This window comes from Homo sapiens, chromosome 5, assembly GCF_000001405.40.
Source record: "Homo sapiens chromosome 5, GRCh38.p14 Primary Assembly".
NCBI lineage: Eukaryota > Metazoa > Chordata > Mammalia > Primates > Hominidae > Homo > Homo sapiens.
In genome coordinates, this window is record NC_000005.10 from 65,211,055 (window position 1) to 65,230,827 (window position 19,773).

The window sequence follows — 19,773 nt, forward strand, 5'->3', positions numbered from 1 at the left end:
TCTTGAAGGGTTTCTTAACGATAAAATGAAGTTTCATTAAGGAGAAGATGACTCTGGCTTTTTCTTGGGTCAAAGTTCCTAAACTCTAAAGGGACTTTACTTCCCTCAATCATAAGCTTCTTAAGAACCTGGGGTTAAAAGTGAGGGTTAAAAGTAAGCTTCTTAAGAACCTGGGGTTAAAAGTGTAAGAAGAGCAACTTCAACAATTGATTCCTGCACTCTATATCCTAGGAAATATTTTCCACCTATTCAAAGTAAGCAAGATGGCTGGGTGCAGTGGCTCACGCCTGTAATCCTAGCACTCTGGGAGGCTGACGCAGGTGGGTCACTTGAGGTCAGGAGTTCAAGACCAGCCTGGCCAACATGGTGAAACTCCGTCTCTACTAAAAATACAAAAATTAGCCAGGCGTGTTGGTGGGCGCCTGTAGTCTGAGCTACTTGGGAGGCTGAGGTGGAATAGTCACTTAAACCCGGGAGGCAGAGGTTGCAGTGAGCCGAGATCACACCACTGTGCTCCAGCCTGGGTGACAGGGTGAGACTCTGTCTCAAAACACAAAAAAACCCAAAACAAAACAAAAAATAAACAAAAAAAACAAAGTAAAAAAGAGAGGAGCTTGGTTTTACCTACCTATGCTAATTAAAATGATACTGTTTTTCCTTGGCAAAGCTTTGCCCCACTCTATAAGAAAAGTAGCAACTCTAAACTTTCATCTCCCACATTAGAAAGGACAAGCACAAATATATAATTGCCAAAATTAATTCCTTTTACTCATTCACTCATCTAGCATTTTGGGAGGCCACCATTGGCCTCATTAAGGTGCTCAATAAGGTGCACTTATTGGGCCCCTACTATGTTTCGGATATTGTTCTAGGGGCAAAATGAGTTTACAAAGATGCACAGACTTCAGTGATGAAGACACGGATTCCACGTGTCTAGAGTGCTGGGTTTGGTTTCTCTGTCAGCCAAGACCAGTGGTACACAAACTTGAGCGAGCAACAAAATCACCTGCAGGGCTTGTTGAAACGCAGATTAATGCGCCCCACTCGAAGAGTTTCTGTTCAGTAGGTCTGTAATGGGGTGCTCAAATTAGCATTTCTAACAAGTTTCTAAATGATGTTGATGCTGCTGGCGGGACCAGACTTTAAGAACCACTTACCGAAACAAATGGCAGCTCTTTACACCATGCCCTCTATATCCCTCATTTGAAGAAGGCAATAGCCTCAAGAATGCTCATAATCACCCACAACCAACCCTAATGTGAGTTCCCAGAACCACCTCCAGTATCTAAGACCAGTAGCTCCAGATCACAGAAAGAAGAATAAATAACAAGGAAGAGAAAGCTCTCCCTTCCAGAGGCTTTTCTCTCTCTTTTTTTTTTTTTTTTTTTTTTTACCCCCTACCACAAGAAATCACTTCTATTTCTCAATGCAAGTGTTATGGAAAAAAATAACACTCATTTAGACTTTTTACTTTCTGACTTCAACAAAATTATATTTTTTTCTTCCAAATTCAGTTCTCATGGCCTTTTTCCTCTTCTTCTTCTTTGCTTTTTTGTTGGATTATCTCCTTTCTGAACAAATAGAATCATAGGATTGAAGGAACATTAAGAATTCATTTAATCCTTTCTTGGTCTCAGACAAGACTGTATCTAAACCATCCCCAAATATAGCAATTTCAGTACAAAGATGAAGCGGCTCTAAGAATTTCCCATTCAACCTTCTGTCGTATGCTAATATGCATCCCCTTAGCTTTCTTTTCTCCAAGCTAATCCACTTTAACTTTAGACTATCCTTATTAGATTTCCTAAACTTCAAATTATTTAAATTATTCTTTAATAAGTTTATCCCACCTTGCCTCAGGGCCTGAATTATGTATGTATTGTTCTAGAAGACTTTTTGTTGGAATATGCAAAGGGAAAAGTTAATTTATAGAATAAAAAGAATTGAATTGGATAAAAGATAGATATATGTATAAATGCCACTAAAAATAATGCAATGGCATATACTTGATCAATTAGTTGCAAATATTTCTTTATTTAAAAATGGTAATGTCCTATGGCTTTAAAAACTTTACATTACAAATCACCAGCCATTTTACACATAAAATGGATGGGAACTAGAGATCTTTTAAAATATGTCACGAATTATACATAACCATGTTTCATGATACTTTACACAGTAGAGTACATTAATATATTATTATTCATCTTTTTTGTTTTTTTCATGTTGTATAGACTTTATATTGAAATTGGAGTTGTAGTTAATCATTGCTTTAATTCTGTATGAGACTAAAAATACTGAATTAGGCTGGGCGTGATGGCCCATGCCCATAATCCCAGCATTTTGGGAGACTGAGGCAGGAGGAATGCTTGAGGCCAGGAGTTCCAGACAAGCCTAGGCAACACAGTGAGATCCTGTCTTTACAAAAATTTTTAAAATTAGCCAGGTGTGGTGGCGTGCTCCCTAGCTACTCAGAAGGTTGAGGTGGGAGGATCACTTGAGCCCAGGAGGTTGAGGCTGCAGTGAGCCATGATCGTGTCACTGCACTCCAGCTTGGGCAACAGAGCAAAAACCTGTCTCAAAAAAAAAAAAGTAATAAGTAATAAAATAAAATAAAAATACTGAATAGATTATATGTTAATTATTTCTCTAAAAATAACCTCTCTGATTTAAGACTTGAAAATCAGAAGATGCAAATACAAGACAGGATGAAGTCTATATAAAAATCATATATTTCTGCATAGTTTAAAAAAGGAGTATAGGTAATGTATTGGATGATTTACTTTATTTTAATTTTTCCCAAAATAAATATCACTATTTAAAATTTAATCTTTGCTTCTGGAATGGTGAGGTGATCTAGTCCAGCCTAGGCCTGAAGGACAGGTTTGTTTCCTTGCCTGTTAGGATCAAGGTGTACGGTGGAGGCGATGCATTTAGTCTCCAGAGAGAAGGAAGATGCTGCTTGCACAGCACTTCTACTCACCAGTCCATGCAGCAGCAAGGGTGTTGGCTTTGAAGGAAGCCAACTGTCCTGCTCTCCCAGCCAGAGGTAAAGAATTGCATTGGTGGCCACTAGAGGGAGGAGGATTAGGAATAGAGTAAATTGTAGGGAAAAGGCACCCATGAAAAACGCACATGGGACAACCAACACATCACCAACCACCGCCTAGCAGCTACCTCTGAGGGACTGTAATGGGGTCAGTATACACCATTAACCCAGAACCCAGATACCAGTAATTATTGTAGCATCCCAGTATACAGCCCCTTAACTTTGATGGCAGGAGAAGGGAGTTTGAATAGGATTGTGGCAAACACACAGGCACACAAACACACACAACAAGCACACAGCCGTACATTCTCATCTCCCATTACAAGAAGTTGCATCTGTGATGTCTGATTCTTGCTCATTTTCTTTTTTAAAACTTTTGATGTTCTTTACCAAGAATGTGTTCACGAAAGGCAAACAGCCCACCTTCAAGATAGTCTTGGGAGAAGCACCAGCAGAGACACTCATTGTGCCAAGATGTATTTTACCAACAAATCTGCACAAATTACATGAGGTTGAAAACAAATGGAATATAATATAATTAAAGCAAAGTTTCTTTTGCTAAATTACAGCTTGAAGCAAACCTGCAAGAAATGTTTCCAATTAGCTTTTTTAACAAACACAAAGCATAGCTCAGAATGTGTTTTGTTCTCCATCTTGCCCTCTGGGTGGGCTGCCTAGTGGGCATCTTACCTCCAGCACAAGTAGCTGAGCATTCTGACCAAGGCTGATGATTCCATGTAAAGCCAACTTCATTATCTCCACTGCCAGTTCGAGTGATGGGAACATTGAACTTATACCTAATTCCCAAATTCTGTTCTTGAAGCAGAACCTGCCATTGAAAACAACTGGTGAAGACAATTAAAATACAATGAGCCTTCATTCAGATATTTATTATTCCTTTTGAAGAAGAAAATGTCAAAACAAGTCTTACAGGAAACTTAATATAAAACACATGCATTTATATCAAATTTTCTCCTCCCATTTTCATGGGTATTTTGGAGCCATTGCTTTCATCTGTCTTGTTTGGTTATAAAAATACTATTCAAGCAAGAGCACTATGGCCTTAACTCTGCACAGCTCTAACACCCTTGGGTAAATCATTTTATCTTTATTTACCTTAATTTCATCACCTGTAAAGCAGAGATAATAAAACCTGCCCCTTCCTACCTCACAAGGGGGAATTAAAAACAGAAGAAATACAATGGCAAAGACGCATTTACCATGACGATGAGATTTTCTGAGGTAGGACCTAGAGCTTCCAAGGATTCTGGTTCATCAGTTGGTCTCTTGTAATGAAAAGCTGTCCCAGCAACATCAAATTTCCTAGGCCAGTCAATAGTCCAGGCACCATTAATATAGTAATCATCTCCTTCAGATTTTAAAGCTAGAAAACAAATCACAATTCACCTAAAAATGTGAAATTTCATTTACCAAAGTGTCACTGATTAATTACTGCAATAAAGTATACAATGAATACCGATTTCCATTTAGAGATGTGACTCTTGACCATATTCTTAAGTACAAATTAAAATGGTATTTTTCATGTGAATGGTAAGAAGATATTACTTAAGTATTTATAATGTCACTAATAGAAAGCAACGAAAGGTTAACCTGGAGGAATAAACATGTGGAAGTAACAAGGAAAATTATGAGAAAAGGAATAACTAGGGATGAGACTTAACATGAGGGTGGGGAGCAGGCTTTCCTTTCCAAATACTGAAATAGTAATTAAATGGATATGGGGTGGGGACAACCTGTTGCACTTGGACACAGACTGATCGACAGAACACGAATCAAAGAGATTTAAGAAATAGACCCAAGTTCATATGGGAATTCTGTTTATGATAAAGGAAGTATCTTAAATTAGTAAAGGAAAGAACAAGAAATGGGGCTAAGGCAAAAGACTATTCTTTTGGCAAAAAAATGCTGAATTTATATTTCTTTCTTTATATAAGAATAAATGCCACAATTCAACTCCTAGGCACATATCCAAAAGAATTGAAAACAGGTACTCAAACAAATACTTGGACACACATATTCATAGTAGCACTATTTCCAGTAGCACCAAATCAAAACAACACAAATGTTCATCAGTGGATGAATAAATAAACAAATTGTGGTATTATAATGTAACAGAATGTTATGCAGCCATAACAAGTAATGAAGTATTGATAACAAGCTATAATGTGATGAAACTCAAAAACATTAAATGGAAGAGACCAGACAGGAAAGATCACATATAGTATGCTTCCATCTATATAAAATGTCCAGAGTAGGTAAAAAGCCACAGAGACAGAAAGCAGATGGGTAGTTGCCAGGGGATGGGGAATGGGGAGAATGGGGATTCACCTGCTTAATGGATATGGGTTTTTTTCTGGGGTGATGTAAATGTTTGGAATGTTTCAAACGCCACTTAATTGTTCACTTCAAATGGTTAATTTTATGTAATGTTAATTTCACCTCAATAAAAACAAAGTTAAAAAAAGAGAAAGGATAAATGCCAGATGGGTAAATATTTAAATATAAAAATAGTTAAATCTTAAAATGTCAGGAGAAAATATAAAAGAACTTTTTTTCTCATAATATTGTGTTGTGAAAAATTTCTAAGCATGACAAAAAACTCAGAAAAAATATTGATAGATAAACATGCATACTTTAAAAAAATCTCTTACAAGAAATACACACACACACACACACACACACACACAGTTTAAAAGCACATGTAGCTGAAAAAGTATTTTTAGTACTACCGTACAAAAACTCCTATAAACAAACAGGAAACAAATAAACATGTCAGCTTAATATTTTGTTAGTATGCTAGCTGACTGCAAAAACTTTGATTCGTCAGACCTGATAAACAAGTAGCCCAAAAGGACTAAAGGGTCATGGTGCAGAGTCTCTGACTCCCTAGACCTCCAGCTCTTGTCCTTCATACTACAGACCATTGTCATCTCCCGACCCCCATTTGCCTGGCAAAAATATTTGTAGTTTCTTAACTTCAGACATGTTTTGAAGATTCATTTAATCTTCAAAATAAATCTAATTAACCTTTTGAGATAGGAACAAGCAAATAGAAGAAATACCTGGCCTTGAACTTTTTGTGTACTTAAAATTTTTTATTTTCAACTCTCACTTGCAGTGGTTTTCTGTCTAGTTTAAAACATTTGGTTTTATAAGGACATCTGAGACTGTCATATATGAAATAGTAAAAATAAAGATAAAAACAACTATGTGGCTTTAAATTCTCCTTCAGTTTGAGCTCTCACTTCCTTTTTTTTTTTTTACAACTACTAAATGAAGGAATTCTAACACCTCTTGGCTGCTAGGAATATATAACTAATGGTGCCATAATGTAGCTCAGAAAAACACCAACCATTTAAGAGGCATTAAGGAAGAATGACTAAAGGAAGATGAAGTGCATTATGAAAAGAGAATTACCAAAGGGGGAAAAAGCTGAGGCTAGAAATCTTTTTGTTTTGAGTATTATTGATGGAGAAAATAATTCAAAATTATGGTGTAAAAATAAAGGAGTCTTCTTAAATAAAAGAAGAGCCTGATGATACTGATATTCTGCCTGAAGACACACTCTGGATGTACCCTTATTTTTAAAAGCTTTAAGAGAAATGGAATGATATTTTAACTAAAATAAAAACTCATTTAGGTCTCACTAAGGGTTTCTGGAGAGACTAAAACTATCTCAAAGGATTAAACATCAAATAAATAGAACTTCTCCTCACTTTCATGCTGAAATAACTGGTATTAGAATTGCCCTCCCATTGTAAATAATCAGAAAACTCATAAAATATATGAATCAGCTTTTCTCATGCATTGACCAGAACTGTGCAGAGACCATGATCTCCACAACTTTCTGCTTGGAGACACTTTCTTTAGGTGGAGAACCCAAGCAGAACACAGTGGTCTCACCAAGTGAAGAAGAGAGATCAGAAACTGGGAAGGCTGACATAGCTGGAATATGCAGGACCAGAGAACAAGAGAGGAAGGAGGAAATCTGTTGCTGAATATTGATCTGCATATGTATAGGATAAAATTACATAAAGCCAGGCAAAAAATCTACTGTGGAGCTGTAAGCAGAACTACTGCATTTCAATCACCAGGCCATTCAGTAGAGACCCAAGAAGAATCATGCTTTTGCAGGAGGGCTGAGCAAGCTCTAGAATAAAGAATATTCTGGATTTACCCAAACAAAGCTCAAAAGCAAACATCAAAAGGATCAAGCAGATCTACAAGTTACTTGACACCCTTTAAAAAAATAAATCAAAATCCAGGCTCTCAACAAAGAAACATTCACAGTGTACAACATCCAATGAGAAATTACTACCAATGTGGAAAAGGAGGAGAATGTGATTCAAACAGGAGGAAGGCAAAGCCAAAGAAACAGACCCAGAAATAACAAAAATTATGGAATTAGCAGAAAATAATTTTCAAGTAGCTATTATAAATATATGCAAGAACTTTAAAGGAAAACATAATGAGAAGAAACATGATGACATTACATGTATATACACACATATTTATAATAGATGGAAACTGAGATCTATACAAAGAAAGGAAGTATGCCAGATAATGGTAAATATGTGGGTAAATACAAAATAATTTTGCTTGTTTTAAAATTTTTTAAAAAGATAATTGGCTCTTTGAAACAAAAATAATAACCATATATTGTGGGATTTATAACATATAAAGAAGTAGAAAGTATTAAAAAAAACAGCACAAAGAATGGAATGGGACAATGGAGGTAAACTGTTGTAAGGGTCTTACATTATACATAAAATGGTGCAATATTATTTGGCAATGTATTATGATAAATTAAAAACGCATTTTGTAAATCATAAAGCAACCACTAATTAAACAGAGCAAAGAAGTATAGCTAATAAGCTATTTATTAGAGATTAAGTGGAATACAATAAAACCCATGGTTATTCTAAAAGAAGGCATGAAAGGAGGATTAAACGGAAAAAAAACACACAGGACAAACAGAAAAACAGCAAGATGGTAGGCTTAAACCCAACGATATTGATAATTACATTAAATATAAATGATCTAAACAAGAAGTCACCAAACTTATGACCCACCTCCTGTGTTAGTAGATAAAGTTCTATTGGAACACAGTCACACCCATTTATTTATTACCTATGTCTGCTTTCACACTACAATGGTAGAAGTGAATAGTTGTAACACAGACTGTAAGATTTACTGTCTGACCCTTAACAGCGATAGTTGCCGACCCCCAACCCCCCCACCAAACTAAAGATTAGAATTTAAAAATGCAATGATTGTTAGACATTATAAGAAATCAAGATTAAACTACATGTGTTCTACAAGAAACAGATTTTAAAGACAGACGTACCTACATATGAAAAGTGAATAGATAGAAAAAGATTTACCATGCAAACACTGATCAGAAGACAGCTGGGGTAGCTAGATTAGTATCAGATAAAACAGACTTTGCATCAAAGAATATTTTTAAGAGATGGGTATCTCACTATGTTGCCCAGGCTGATCTCAAACTCCTAAGCTCAATGATTCTCCTGCCTCTGCCTCCTGAGTGGTTGGAATTACAGGCATGTGCCACCATGCCAGACTGGTCATAGAATATTATCAGGAATACAGAGGAACATTTGAAAATCATAAAATGCTCAATATATCAAGAAGATGTAACAATCATAAATGTCTATACACCTAAAACATAGTTTCAAAATAAATGAAGCAAAAATCTTACAAACTATTGGGTTGGTGCAAAAGTAATCGCAGCTTTTGCCATTAATAAGAACAGTAAACAAATCCACAATTCTAATGGGAGATATCGACGTAATTCTTTCAGTAATTCTTCAACAAGAAGGCAGCAAATAAGAATATAAAAAATGTGAAAAAACTATCCAACCAAAGGATAGTTGTGTCCTTTAATTTCATGAACATTAATGGAATACTAACCCCAAAATAGCAGAATATGCATTCTTCTCAAGTGCACATGTGCTAGACTATAAAAAAACCTTAACAAAAAACTAAAATCATATAAGGTGTGTTTTCTGTCCAAAATACAATTAAACTAGAAATCAGTATCAGAAAAGTATTTGTGAAACACCAAAATATTTGGAAATTAAATAATACCTTCTAAGTCATGAGTCACAAGATAAATAAGGAAATATTTAAAACTTCATAAGGAAAATAAAATGTATCATATGTCTGACAAAATTTATGGTAAAAAAAATGCTTGTTTTATAGCAGAAAAAAGATTTTTAATCAGTAATTTAAGTTTGTATCTTGAGAAGCTAGAAAAAATAAGAACAAATTAAAACAAAGTGAATAGAAAAAAAGAAACAAACAGAAGAGTGGGAATTAGCCGGGCGCAGTGGCTCACGCCTGTAATCCCAGCACTTTGGGAGGCCGAAGGGCGGGTGCATCATGAGGTCAGGAGATCGAGGTAATCCTGGCTAACACGGTGAAACCCCGTTTCTACTAAAATTACAAAAAAATTAGCCGGGCGTCAACGTGGGTGCCTGTAGTCCCAGCTACTCGGGAGGCTGAGGCAGGAGAATGGCATGAACCTGGGAGGCGGTGCTTGCAGTGAGCCGAGATTGCGCCACTGCACTCCAGCCTGGGCAACAGAGCGAGACTCCGTCTCAAAAAAAAAAGAAGAGTGGGAATCAATGTAATGCAAAATAGACAAACAATAGAGAAAATCATTTAAACTGTAAGCTTGTTCTTTAAAAAGATCAATACAATAAAGCCCTCATTAGGATTATCAAGGTAAAGAGACAAATTTTCAGTACGGAAAATGAAAAGAAGAGCCATTGTTACAGATCCTACAGATATTAAAAAGATAATAAGAAAATATTATGCATAATTTTATGCCAATAAATTTGAAAACTTTGTTATAAAAATTGAATTTTTCATTAAAAACTTTCCACAAAGACAACTCCATTCTAGATAGCTTCACAGTTGAATTCTATCAAGCATTAAGAAACAATTCTCTCCAGACTTCCAGAAAACAGAGGAGAAAGGAACACTTCTAAAGCCATTTCATGAAGCCAGGCTTAACCTGATACAAAAACCAGCAAAGAAATCACAAGAAAGACTCTAGAAAAATATCTCTCATGAACATAGGTCCAAATATTCTTAATAAAATATTAGCAAATCAATTCCAGCAATATATAAGAGTAATAATAGATCATGAAAAAGTGGTTTATATCCCAAGAATACTACATGGATTTTACATTTGAAAATCAATCAATTTATTTACTATATTAACAGGGAAAGGGAGGGCAAACCCCACCTAATCATGTCAATAGATTCAGACATCTTCAATACCCATTCATGACTAAAACTCTAATAAAAACTAGAAATAGAAGGGAACATCCTCAAACTGACAAAGGTCATTACATAAATCTTCTAGCTAACATTATATTTAATGGTTAAAAACAATAACAACAAGGAATGATTTGCCCTTATGATTGGTTGAAAACAAAAGGCTGCCTAGTCTCCTCATTTATTCAGCATTGTACTAAAGGTCATGAACTCTGTTATAAGGCAAGAAAAAAGAAATAAAGGGCATAAAGATTGGAAAGATAGAAGTAAAAGTGCCTTTGTTCGAGGATGACATGATAATCTATAGAGAAAATCCAAATGAATTTACAAAACAACTGTTAGAAGTAATATGTGAGTGAACCAGGTCTCAGGACATGAGGGCAATATAAAAAGAAATAAACTATATTATTCCCTAACAACAAAAAACTGGAAATTAAATTAAAATACAATAATATTTACAATAGCACCAAAAAGCATGATTAGATTTAACAGAACATGTGTGCAAGACCTATATACTGAAAATGAAACATTGGTGAAAAAATTTTAAAAAGACCTAAATAAATGTAGAGGTAAATCTTTTCATGTATTAGAAAATTCAGTATTTTTAAGATGTCAATTCTCCACAAATTAACCTATAGATTCCATATACTCTCTTTCTGTATAAAAAGATTTGTCTCAATTGACAAGTTCATGCTAATATGTATATAGAAATATAAAGGACCTAGAAAAGCAAAAATAATGTTGAAAAAGAACACATTCAGGGACTAATGCTTCTGGATTTCAAGACCCGCTGGGAAGCTCGATTACTCAACACAGTGTGGTGTTGGTTTAAGGACAGAAACCTAGATCAATGGGTGAGAACAGAAATAGACTCATCCATGTATGCTTAATTGATCTCTCACAAATGTGTCAGGGTAATTCAATGGAAGAAGTGATAGTCTTTTCAACAAGTAGTGTTAGAGCAATTGAATATTCATATGAAAAAATGGAACATCAACCCTTACTTTATACCTTATATAAAAATTAACTTAAAATTGACTGTATGTGTTTTTCAATTTTATTTTTGAATTTCATGTATCTTACATTTCTTATCATAGTTTTAAGTCTTAAGTCATTACTCTAAGTGTTAAATCAAAGGATAGGGTGTTATTCAAGTAAATAAATAATTGTTCTTCCCCAAATAGATTTGCCTGGTTGTCTCTCCCCCTCATAGGTATCAGTCGTAGTATGCACAATACACGTCTTTAATGACTATATTTTGCATTTGTATTTTACATTTAATAAATATATTTTATATTTTGTAGACCATATATTTAAACATAAAAATAAAGACTATAACTTCTTACATACTGAAAACTATCTTTGCAATATTGGAGCAGGTAAAATTTCTAAGATAGGACATGAAAGCACAAACCATTAAAAAATTAATAAATTGAATTTCATCAAAATTAAAAGGCACTTCAAAAAATGAAGACGCAAGCAGAAACTAGGAGAAAATATCCATAAAATATATCTGACAAAGACTTATATCCAGAATATATAAAGAACTCATAACTCAAAAAAAGGAAAAAAAAATTTTAAATGGGTAAAATATTTGTGTAGACACTTCACTACAAAAAAATCCATATGGATAAAATTAAAAAGACTGACAATACCAAGTATTGACAAGGATGTAGAGCAGCTGGAACTCTTCTATATTACTGATAGAAATATAAAATAATACATCCATTTTGGGAAATATTTTCATACTTTCTTTTTTTTCCAGCTTTGTTGAGGTATAACTCACAAATAAAATATTAAGTTTAAGGTGTACAATCTGATGATTCAACATACATAAACATTGTGAAATGAATACCACAATCAAGCTAATTTACATATCCATAACTTCCTACAGTTGCCTTTTTTGTATGTGGTGACAATAAGATCTATTCTCTTAACAAATTTCAAGTATACGATACATTTTATTAACTAAAGTATATTAGATGTGCAGAACTTATTCCTCTTATAACTGAAAGTTTGTACTATTTGACCAACATCTTCCCATTCCACCTCCTCCCTGCCCCCTGGTAAATACTCTTACACTCTCTGTTTGACTTTTTTAGAATCCACGTATAAATGAGATCATGCAGTATTTGCCTTTCTGTGTCTGGCTTATTTAGCTTAGCATGACGTTCTCCAGGTTCATCCATATTGTTGCAAATGAATAGTTTCCTTGTTTTTTTAAGGCTGAATAATATTCTATTGCATACAGATAAAATAAGTTTTTTAATCCATTCATCTGTTGACAGACGTTTATGTTGTTTCTATATCTTAGCTATTGTGAATAATGCTGCAATGATCATGTGAGTGTAGATATCTCTTTGAGATAGTGATTTTTTTTTTTTTTTTGAGACGGAGTCTCGCTCAGTCCCCCAGGCTGGAGTGCAGTGGCAGGATCTCCACTCACTGCAAGCTCTGCCTCCTGGGTTCACGTCATTTTCCTGCCTCAGCCTCCCGAGTAGCTGGGACTACAGGCGCCCACCACCACACCCAGCTAATTTTTCTGTATTTTTATTAGAGATGGGGTTTCACTGTGTTAGCCAAGATGGTCTCGATCTCCTGACCTTGTGATCCACCCGCCTCGGCCTCCCAAAGTGCTGGGATTACAGGTGTGAGCCACAGCGCCTGGCCTGATTTTTTAAATATATAAAATAACCCGGTGAAGAGTAAGCTATAAACTCTAATTTTTCTCTTTAGCATTGTATATGTGTTCTATAAAACTTAGAGCTTACTTCATTTTAGCATGAAAGTGATCTACCTCAAAGAAGCATGCCTTTTCCTTCATGATACTGTGCTACTTTTCCTCATTTACTTTTAAAATCCAGCAAACTAGCATACCAGTCTAACATACCAATATAGTTCTTTGACATGGCAACTTCTCTAACTTCAATGTGAACAGAGCCTCTTGGTATCTGCACCACTTCCATGTAGCCTGGAACACAGAAGATAGCCAGTATTAAGCAGCCTTGGTCAGGAAATGAGTATTTGGTAACCATTCAATAGTAATAGTTTCCTTATTATTCCATTCTCTCTTTGACTTTGCATTTTATGAATTATGAAATATGGGCAAATTACCCTTTGGGTTCATGAATACATTTTAGAGAAACAGTATTTAACAGTCTTTTTCTCTAAAATTATCTCAAGATATTTTAAAAGCCTCAACACGAATAATGGTTCCTTTTCTTCCTCAGCACATGCCCCTCATATCAATCCTCTGTGAGAATGTACACCTTTAAGAAACATGGCTAAATGAAGTTAAGTAGAGAGAGAGAATATTTCCTTAAAATATTTTACTTGAAGCCACATTTAACACTAAAATGACTGAAAGCAATTTGGGGAAGAAAACATTGTCTGCCTAAATAAAGAAATCTGAAAAACAGGGGGAGGCGAAGCGAGGGTTTTGGCTCCTCCAAGTACACCAGAGGTGTGAGGAAGAGTTCTCTCTACATACTCACCTCCCCTGGGCAGTGAATCATTGAAGAACCCTTCAATGGCATCACATGTGCTTCCGTCCCCTCCACAGACTCGACATCTATCTTCCCTAGCATCAGATCCCAAAATATTATCACAGCCTACGTGCTGAAAACAGAGAGGAATATTCAGTGTGTCAAGAGAGAAATTCTTGGAATCATAACTAATGAAATACATATAACTTATTTATTTGCTTGTTTTTCCAGTAAAGAAAAGAAAAATAAGGTAATCCGTGAATAAAAACCATACTTGGGTCTTTGTTATTTGAAAAACTTGAATACTACTACAAAAATAACTTTTTCTTCAAGAAAATAAACTACCCCTTGCCCACAGATACATAAACACACACAAATATCATACACAAACTGAATCATCAGATATATTTGCAGACAAGTAGCCAGAAGGATAGAAACTTTTCCAAGAAATTATGAGACTAAGTAAAATGGTGCTTTTTATCTTGTCTTTCTCAGTTTGAAGCACTTAATTTGTCCTTCTCTTTAAAGTAAAACAAAACCAGACAAGTAAAAAAATTTATGAAAATAGTGGTTTTTGTGGCTTTTCTTATTATGTTACAATCATACACAGGTCTAGGAAAATAGCATGGATTTGCTCCTACAATTCCCAACTAGTCTGACTAATTCCCTAAAGTAAATGCTTTAATAAGATAAAGACTAATTCCACAATGAAAACCATTGTAAATGCTTCAAAAGGAGATAAAGTAGGAGGAGCATGGCTGTTTCACACTTTGAGGAAAATTTATGCTATGAAATGTATCAAATAATCTTCCAAAAAGAACATATGGTAGAAATATGAATAAGAGCTGAATCCTCATTCTCTCTCTTTTTCTATCATCTTGTTTGTAAACAGAACAGAAGAATAACGGAAATTAAAATCCAAAATATTTTCATACTTCTGGCAATCACTGTAAAAATAACTAGAATACCAGAATAAAGTACATTTGTATGGTGCTTGAATATGAATGGGTCATTTTACCTTTACATATTTTATTACTCTTAATGGAAATTGAATTTCTCTAAAATGTGGTCCCCTTTTTTTAAAAAATTAAACATAGTATTAAATAGGAGTTAATGAGAAAAAGATAAAAGTCTCAAAAACCCCAACAGAAAGGAGTAAAATCTGAGCAACCTTGCATTCTCCATTGATGCAGATATCCAGTGAATCCGCATTGCACTGGGTCCCATCGATCACCGCAGGAGCACGTTCAGTGTAGAAATTATAACCTTCAGCCAAGCAGTTTAATGCACAAGGTTTTACCCCACCTGGACAAATACAGTAGAAGAGAAATAAGTGGAGTGGTTGTCCTAATGAACAGTGATTCAGTATTATCTATGGCAAATTTATAATTCACGTAGACATCATTCCCTGCTTATATGCCTGATTGTGTAGGTTTCTTTCCCCCTTTTCTAAAATTTCACCTTTATTTTAATTGGTGGTGCAACTTAAAGGGGGACTTGCTCAGCAGTTTTCAGGTTTAAAAATTTCAGGTATTTCCATTATTTATTTATAACATAATTATATATTTATAATGTATTTTATATTTCTATATTCCATTATATATTTACAATTTTGGTAAAAAGGGATCATAGTGAAGGTAATTGAATGTTTTTTAAAAAAATAAATGAAAGAAAAACAATTTTTTTTTTGAGATGGAGTCTTGCTCTGTCACCCAGCCTGGAGTGCAATGGTGCCATGTCAGCTCACTGCAACCTCTGCCTCCTGAGTAGAGATTCTCCTGCCTCAGCCTCCTGAGTAGCTGGGATTACAGGCACCTGCCACTATGCCCATCTAATTTTTGTATTTTTAGTAGAGACAGGGTTTCACCATGTTAGTCAGGCTGGCCTTGAACTCCTGACCTCAGGTGATCCACCTGCTTTGGCCTCCCAAAGTGCTGGGATTACAGGCGTGAGCCACCGTGCCTGGCCAAGAAAAACAATTTTTTAAAAAAACCTAAGAAAATAAAATAACCTTGTCTAACAAACAGAAGTTTCTGCTACATATGTTACTGAAGCTGATACAAAAACTCTGCCACATCAAGCAAGGATATGGTAGTTATAAAATAAAACTAAATTTGTACCTGCCTTAAGCATATCATAGTCTGTGAACTTGGCTTTAGCATGGATATAAATTTTTATGAGATTAGCAAATCAAAACTAAAATTAATTATAGCTTTAAATTTGATTAATTCTTATGAAATTAGCCAAGGATAAATATAAAATATAGTATTATATTTGAATAATTAAAACACTAATTTTGTTTGTGAATAAATACACACAGCAATTTGAGCATTTTCATTTTGTCATTGAAATTTGTGTTTTTTAAGGCTGAAGTTAAAAATAGGCTTAGGTAACTGCAATTTTAAAAAACAGAGTACATATCATAACTACAGTATATTGGAAAAATAGCAATAAATGTGGACTTGTTGTATTAAAAGCAGCACAAGATAAAGCTACTATTTGTAAGTATGTAATTATTGACTGAAATCATGACTTAAAATATTTTCTTTTGTAATTCTACTTCATCACTTTGACCATATCTAATTATGCTGCTAAAACTTCTATTTGAAATAAAGAAGACTACTTCTAATAAAGGAAATAAAGCAGAAAGATGAAATGACATGGCTACATCTCAGTGAAGTTCTTAGAAATCATGTTTCTGCAGGTTGACGGTAAGCAAAGAAAAAGAAAATCGACTGGGTGGTAGAGTCAATGATAAATTAGAGACAGCACATTCCAGTATAGGAGATGACTGCTACAGTTGAATGTTGTTATGCAAGAAGATAGTCCAATATTGTCAGTCTGTTTTTTCAAGAGAAGATGAAAACTTAATTTTTTTTTCCATCTAAACTCTTCTTGTTTTTAAATGTAACAATTGATTCAAAGTTTTGTTACAAAAAATACTGTGGGAGGCTAAAATATGTATGTAGATAAAAATTGGTCCCTAAATTGCCAACTTACGACCTCTGGCCTGAGTCTATGTTTTCTTCCATTTTCAATGTTTCTAGGCTATAGAACTTCTATCTAACTTATAATGTGATTTTTAGCGTTAGGTTAATGATTAATTTTGCCATACTGAGCATAGAAATAACAAGTAATAAATAAAATAATTTCTTCCCAAACTGATAATAAAACTACTTGTATTTATTTTTATATGATTCTCATGAATTAAATTACCCAAAATGTCCATGAATCTTACTGGAAATTTTTTCATTATTACCCAATACAGTTCTTCTCTCATTTTTTTATCATAATGCTTTGGAATTTAATATAGCATTTTGTGCATTAGGCTTTAAAAAGAGAAGCTGAGTCTTCTGTTTATTCAATTTTAACATTAATTATGTAACGTAATATTTGATAGGCAGGACATATAAATACTATGGTTATATTCCTTAGCCCACTATACTAAGTGATGAAAATGGGAATAAGTTTCTTGTTTACTGCTGAAGATGTGTTCAGCTTCTTCTGATACAATGAGCTTTCAGAAAAGGTACCACTAGAGTGACATCAGCAAGATGGTGGAAGAGGAGCTTTCTACTATCATCTCCCTGCAGAAGGATCAATTTTGACAGCTACTTATAGACAAGTGTACCTTTATGGGACTCCAGCAGAAAAGTTCCAGCATGCCATTGGAGAAAAAAAAAAATTCCCCAAACAGACAAATCGAAGAGGTTTAAGACCAGTTTAATTTCACCTGTATCACACCTCCCTCAAGGCAGCACAGCTCAGTGAAAAGAGAGACTCCCTGCCACCCTCCCCAGCCTTTGATTCTCCCACAGGGGAAAGTGAGAGTATAGAGAGTAAGCACCAAGCTTCCCTAGCTGTGTGGGACGCTGCCCAAGAGTCCTACTGTTTTCTTGCCTCATCCAGAATACTGAGGTGATCAGCATGGCTGAGTGGTTGGAAGAGGCTGGGAGCAGAGAAGAGAGGCCATAGGCCCAAGTAACCACTCCATGGACTCTGTTGGGAAGCCAACTCATGAGCCATTTGAGATGTTTTGCCTATGGGCCACCTCATAACTAGTCAACAGTTGCCTCAAAAACTCTGCATGCCCCATTCTCCCCCAACTGCTGTAGGCCAGCAGCCCAAGCATGCTCCTATGGACTGAAAGTAAGCATTTTATGCAGACAGCCAACACAACTTTGCAGGATTGGGAGAAGTCATACAACTTGAGCATTTAGGGAACCACCCTAGAAAAAACAAACAGGCAGCTCTCAGCACCTGGTCCAGCTTTGTGGAATTCAGAGAGGGATACATTCTTAAGAATTCCTCCCCAAGAGAGAATAAGAGGTGTGGAGTAGGGACATCCATAGAAAAGGTCTGAGAGAGCCTCAGAATCTTTAACTGGGCTGTTTGGTAAAGACATTTTTCTCTGGAAGCCAGTTAGTAAAGACTGCGTTCTCCACATGCAAAGACAGCAACACAGTACTTCAAGAAACCAGAAGAAAAATCAAGAAAACATGATACCACCAAAGAAACATGGTAATATTCCAATAACCAACCCCAAAGACATGGAGCTCTATGAATGGCATGAAAAAGAATCCAAAATAATTGTTTTAAGGAAGGTGAGGGAGCTATAAGAGAACACAGACAACTTAATGAAATCAGAAAAACAATACATGAACAAAGTGAGAAGTTCAATAGATAGAAATCATTAATAAAAACAGATTCTGGAGGTAAAGAAAACAATGAATAAAATGAAAAATGTAATAGCATCAACAGTAGACTTGATCCAGCAGAAGAAAGAATTTATGAACTTGAAGAGGGGTCATTTAAAAATCTCCAGTCAGGCAAAAAAGAACAAAAAGGATTTATGGGACATCACCAAGATAACTACATTTTCACATTATAGGAATCTTAGGTGGAAAAGAAAGTGGAATAGGCTTATTTAAAGAAATAATGGCTGAAAAATTCCCAAATCTAGAGAGCAATATGGACATTCAAATACATGAAGCTCAAAGATCTCTAATAAGGCTGAACCCAATGAAGACTTCACACACACATTATAATTAAACTGTCAAAAATCAAGGACAAAGAATTTTGAAGGCAAGAGAAAAAAGATTCATAACATACAAGGGAACTCCATAGGTCTATCAGCAGATTTCTCAGCAGAATCCCTGCTGGCCAGAAGAGGCTGATAGCTACACTAATTTGTGAATGGACTACGATATAAAAAGATGTAGACTGTAACATGAAAAATATAAAATAGAAGAGTAAAAGTGTCAAATTTTTGTATATGATTGAAGGTAAGTTGCTAATAGCTTAAAACAGACTATTATAACTATAGATTTTTATATAAGCCTCATGGTAATCACAAAGCAAAATACCTAAAGCATATATATATATATATATATATATGAAATATATATAATACATTATATATATGAAATATATATAATACATTATATATGAAATATATATAATACATGATATATATGAAATATATATAATACATGATATATATGAAATATATATAATACATGATATATATGAAATATATATAATACATGATATATATGAAATATATATAATACATGATATATATGAAATATATATAATACATGATATATATGAAATATATATAATACATGATATATATGAAATATATATAATACATGATATATATGAAATATATAATACATGATATATATGAAATATATATAACACATATGTATGAAATATATATAACACATATGTATGAAATATATATAACACATATGTATGAAATATATATAACACATATGTATGAAATATATATAACACATATGTATGAAATATATATATAACACATATGTATGAAATATATATATAACACATATGTATGAAATATATATATAACACATATGTATGAAATATATATATAATACATATGTA

General features: G+C 34.3%; 1 protein-coding gene across 14 annotated transcripts in view; it reads right to left on the minus strand.

Moving 5' to 3' along the window:
* ADAMTS6 (ADAM metallopeptidase with thrombospondin type 1 motif 6) overlaps positions 1-19,773 on the minus strand; it is a 333,183-nt gene that overhangs the window by 62,317 nt on the left and 251,093 nt on the right. For 10 of the 14 annotated variants that reach the window (NR_135689.2, XM_011543117.3, NM_197941.4 and 7 more), the window contains 5 exons: positions 15,032-15,165; positions 13,870-13,993; positions 13,266-13,346; positions 4,270-4,433; positions 3,740-3,878 (listed from right to left, as the gene is read on the minus strand). Coding sequence is in view for 12 of the 14 variants with exons in the window: in XM_011543117.3 (XP_011541419.1) it covers positions 3,740-3,878; positions 4,270-4,433; positions 13,266-13,346; positions 13,870-13,993; positions 15,032-15,165 (642 nt within the window). In the remaining 2 variants the exon portion in view is untranslated. Of the gene's footprint in view, positions 1-2,983; positions 3,073-3,739; positions 3,895-4,269; positions 4,434-13,265; positions 13,347-13,869; positions 13,994-15,031; positions 15,166-19,773 lie in introns of those variants that run through there. The other 4 variants (XR_007058575.1, XM_047416676.1, XM_047416677.1 and 1 more) reach the window with 3 other exon arrangements.